This window comes from Homo sapiens, chromosome 13, assembly GCF_000001405.40.
Source record: "Homo sapiens chromosome 13, GRCh38.p14 Primary Assembly".
Classification (NCBI taxonomy): Eukaryota; Metazoa; Chordata; class Mammalia; order Primates; family Hominidae; genus Homo; species Homo sapiens.
In genome coordinates this window covers 98,593,006-98,597,236 of record NC_000013.11, presented here as the reverse complement: position 1 = coordinate 98,597,236, position 4,231 = coordinate 98,593,006, and the positions used below count along the sequence as shown (strand labels likewise).

The 4,231-nt window shown below is 45.3% G+C and overlaps 1 annotated feature.

Annotated features, from left to right (window-relative positions):
* Nucleotides 388-437: an enhancer, noted in NCBI's record as "active region_7920". NCBI's record gives its function as "activates an Ori minimal core promoter by ATAC-STARR-seq in GM12878 lymphoblastoid cells {active_cell/tissue: GM12878}" and the evidence as "EXISTENCE:reporter gene assay evidence [ECO:0000049][PMID:35858748]".

Sequence of the window (4,231 nt, the reverse complement as noted above, 5' to 3'; positions counted from 1 at the left end):
AAAGACAGAGGGCTGCAAATTGCCCATGAACTATATCTGCCTAGGTTATGGTGAATTGAATATGGCTACATGGTTTCTGAGGACTGGTGGGGGTGTGCACCAGGTTGGAGGGGTCTGAGAAGGGAGGATAAGGTAAAGGAATGGAACACACTTCCAAGAAGTTTGTCCGTGGAGGGAAAGAGGTACTGCAATGGTAGCTGGAGAGGTATGTGAGGTGGAAGGAAGGTTGTTTTTCTTTTTTCTCTTTTTTGAGATGGAGTCTCGCTCTGTCGCCCAGGCTGGAGTGCAGTGGCGCGATCTCAGCTCACTGCAACCTCCACCTCCTGGGTTCAAGCAATTCTCTTCCTCAGCCTCCCGAGTAGCTGGGATTACAGGCGCCCGCCACCAGGCCCAGCTAATTTTTGTATTTTTAGTAGAGATGGGATTTCGCCATCTTGGCCGGGCTGGTCTTGAACTCCTGACCTTGTGATCCACCCACCTCATCCTCCCAAAGTGTTGGGATTACAGGCTGAGCCACCACACCTGGCCTGTTTTTGTTTCTTTTAAAATGGAAGAGGCATGAGCATGTTTAAATGCTGATTGGAAAGACTGAGTCAAAATGAGAAACTTAAGATACAGAAGTGATAGGGAACCAGAGATAGCATGAGGTCACTGAGAAGGGGGCGGTGGAGGAAGTGGACTCAGATGTGAGAAAGGGCACATCCCCTTTATAACAACAAGAGAGGATTTGGACCAATGTCAATAGGTTTACAGACGTGGTGGTGAGATTCAGAACCATCTCTCTTCTGATGGATTCTGTTCTTGGGAAAGCAGGAGTGAAGGTCATGGCTAAGAGAGATGGATGGAAGTGGGAGTGCTGGGTGGTAAAGGGCACAGGAAGAATGACCACCTAGAGCAGCAGAGGTGTCTGCAGGCAGAGTTAGGGCCCATTTGAGACTGGTGACCCTGGCCGGGTGTGGCTGCTCATGCCTATAATCCCAGGACTGTGGAAGGCCAAGGGGGGTGGATAGCTTGAGGCCAAGTGTTTGAGACCAGCCTGGGCAACATAGCAAGACCCCATCTCTAAAGAGAGATAGGGAGACAGACAGACAGACAGACAGACAGACAGACAGACAGACAGACTAGTGACCTGAAGCCTATAGCCAGCAGGCTGTACAGAGAGATTTACGCTAGCTACTCAGCTGCCCAAGGGCAGGATGCAACAGGTGAACGTTTGGTCCATCTAGTGTTGGAGATTTGTTGGGTGAACATGCAAGAAAAGTACAAAGAGAAATAGAGCTTAGTCTAAGCTATTGAAAAGAAGGTTCTCTAGGCTATGGGACCTGGTACACAGCAGGTTCACAAGAGTTGTGTTGATTATTATAGGAGAATGTCCTATCATCCCCTCAGCCCTCCACCATTCCTGCCTGACCACTGTCACCTAAGCATACAACTCCAGCCTCTTTGCCCCAACGCATAAGCTATACAGATGTGAAAGTGCTTTTGACCCCAGAAGTGACATTTACTCCACATAGTCATTTTTCGGTTATTTTATGTGTCCCCAGTTCATTATTCTCTAGAGGAGAAAGTAAAGTCTCAGAAATTGGGTTCTTTGTTCAGATGTTCACTTTACCACTAGAGTAAGGTTATGTGCAGCTAGTTCTGAGACTCAACAAACAATTCCACCTAAGAAAAATCATCATCAGATGAGACATAGTATATCATTTATTACAAACATCATAACTTTTAAGATTCTTTATTGAGAAAATCACATTTTTCTAAATATAGTTGCACTTACAGTCTTTTGTTAAGTGGCTTATGACTTACTAGTCTGTAAGGATTACATTTGGTCTGCTATCTGAAAATGCAAAATTTCTACAGAAGAGGATTTCAACATAAAGGTCACATTAGGAATGAGTAGTGACCAAATCGGGACATAGGAAGTTGGGCAAATAACACTGCTTCTTTCCTTTTTTTTTTAGACAGGGTCTCCCTCTGTCACCCAGGCTGGAATGCAGTGGCACGATCTCCCGTCTCCTCTCACTGCAACCTCCACCTCCCAGGCTCAAGGGATCCTCCCACCTCAGCCTCCTGAGTAGCTGGGACTACAGGTGTGTGCTGCCATACCTGGCTAATTTTTGTATTGTTTTGTAGAGATGGGGTTTCTCGAAGTTGCCCAGGTTGGTCTCGAACTCCTGGGCCCCCAGAGTGGTGCTGGGATTACAGGTGTGAGCCACTGTGCTCAGTCAACACTGCTTTTTTTTTTTTTTTTTTTTTTTTTTTTTTGAGATGGAGTTTCACTCTTGTTGCACAGGCTGGACTGCAGTGGTGCGATCTTGGCTCAGTGCAACCTCCGCCTCCTGGGTTCATGTGATTCTTCTGCCTCAGCCTCCCAAGAAGCTGAGATTACAGGCATGTGTCACCACACCCAGCTAATTTTGTATTTTTAGTAGAAACGGGGGTTTCACTATGTTGGTCAGGCTGGTCTCGAATTCCTGACCTCAAGCGATCCATCCATCTCAGCCTCCCAAAGTGCTGGGATTACAGGTGTGAGCCACCACGCCTGGCCTAACACTGCTTCTTTAAGACAGAGTTTCTTCATCTGTTAAGTGAGGAAATTAGAAAATATGACTTCCCATATTAAGAGTCCATAGCTGAGCTATCCAAATAGCCACTCATGGCTGGCAGCTACTCTACTGGCAGCACAGATACAGAACATTTCCATCATTTCAGAAAGTTCACTGGATAGCTATGGTCCATAATTCCAGACTTAATACAATTACAATAGTGGGAAGATATTAGGATGCTTCCAGAAGTTATCATTTAATGGTTTTCCATTTCATCACACTGAACAACTTTTCTGGAATACACCTACATCTCATCTGGCTTAATGGACCAGGAGTAAACCGAAGCAAGGTGGCCCTATTGCAGTCCCATAACCTTCAGGTAATGGGGAGACAATGTATTCTAGATCTTTCCTGGCTTCCTTTCCTCCCAGCCCACTGTCTTTCCTTTCACATTTTCTTGAGTGTCAAGTCCTAAGTCAGCTACTGGGTACACAAAGATAATTGAACTTGTCTATCTGATGAGCCAGAAAAAAAAAAGAGATGATCATAATATATTTGGTAAGAATATTTGGTAAGAAATATAATAGCAGGCCCCTTGAGGTGCTATGGAAACTGAAGGAGGAATACCTAATTGGAGGTGCAAGAGGTGAGGGGGAGCTTGCCAGAAGGAGTGAAAACATCCAGGAAGGTAAAGGTAAAGGAAGGTAAAGGAAAGGTCAGAGGTAAGGATGCGTATGACCTAAAATGGATTCCAGGTATGCAGATTATGGTTTGCCTTAACTGTAACCCTGTTAAAATGCAACAATTGCCAAAAGAAAAGTGATTTGAACAACATGAATAACGAATACCTTTTAAAATTCATAGGATTACGTGAGTACCCAGAGTGGTAGGATTCATAGAGAGAAAGTGGAATGGCGGTTATGGGGCTGGCAGGAGGAGGGTGGGAGTTAGGGTTTCATGGGCACAAAGTTTCAGTTTGGGAAGATGCAAAAGTTCTGGAGATGGAGGGTGGGGGCTGTAGCGCAACAAGGTGAGTGTACTGGTGCCCCTGAACTGTACGCTAAACATGGCAAACATGACAAATGTTATCTTTTATCTGTTTAGCCATAAAAAAAAAAAAAGCTTTGTAAGTTTACAAAGAAAACTGATAGGATTATAAGCCTCTCTGTGGTATGCTTAATTTGCAAAGGCACTATCAAAATGTGAGCTGGGCCAGGTGCAGTGGCTTACACCTTTAATCCCAGGACTTTGGGAGGCTGAGGTAGGTGGATCACCTGAGGTCAGGAATTGGAGACCAGCCTGGCCAACATGGTGAAACCCCATCTCTACTCAAAATACAAAAATTAGCCAGGCATGGTGGCACGCGTGTGTTATTTCCAGCTACTTGGGAGGGCGAGGCAGGAGAATCACTTGAACCCAGGAGGCAGAGGTTGCAGTGAGCCGAGATTACACCACTGCACTCCAGCCTGGGGGACGGAGCAAGAATCCATCTCAAAAAAAAAAAAAAAATGTGGGCCTGGTATTCCTCATCCATTCTGCTGCCCTATCTTTAGAGTTGCTTCCTCCTCTGTAATAACAGAAGTGAGTTGATTCTAATACAGCCCATACCCCCAAACTGCACATCTCAAGACTATCCCATTTCAATGAGCGCTGCATTTCCAATCTACTAGTTTCTCACCCCCAAA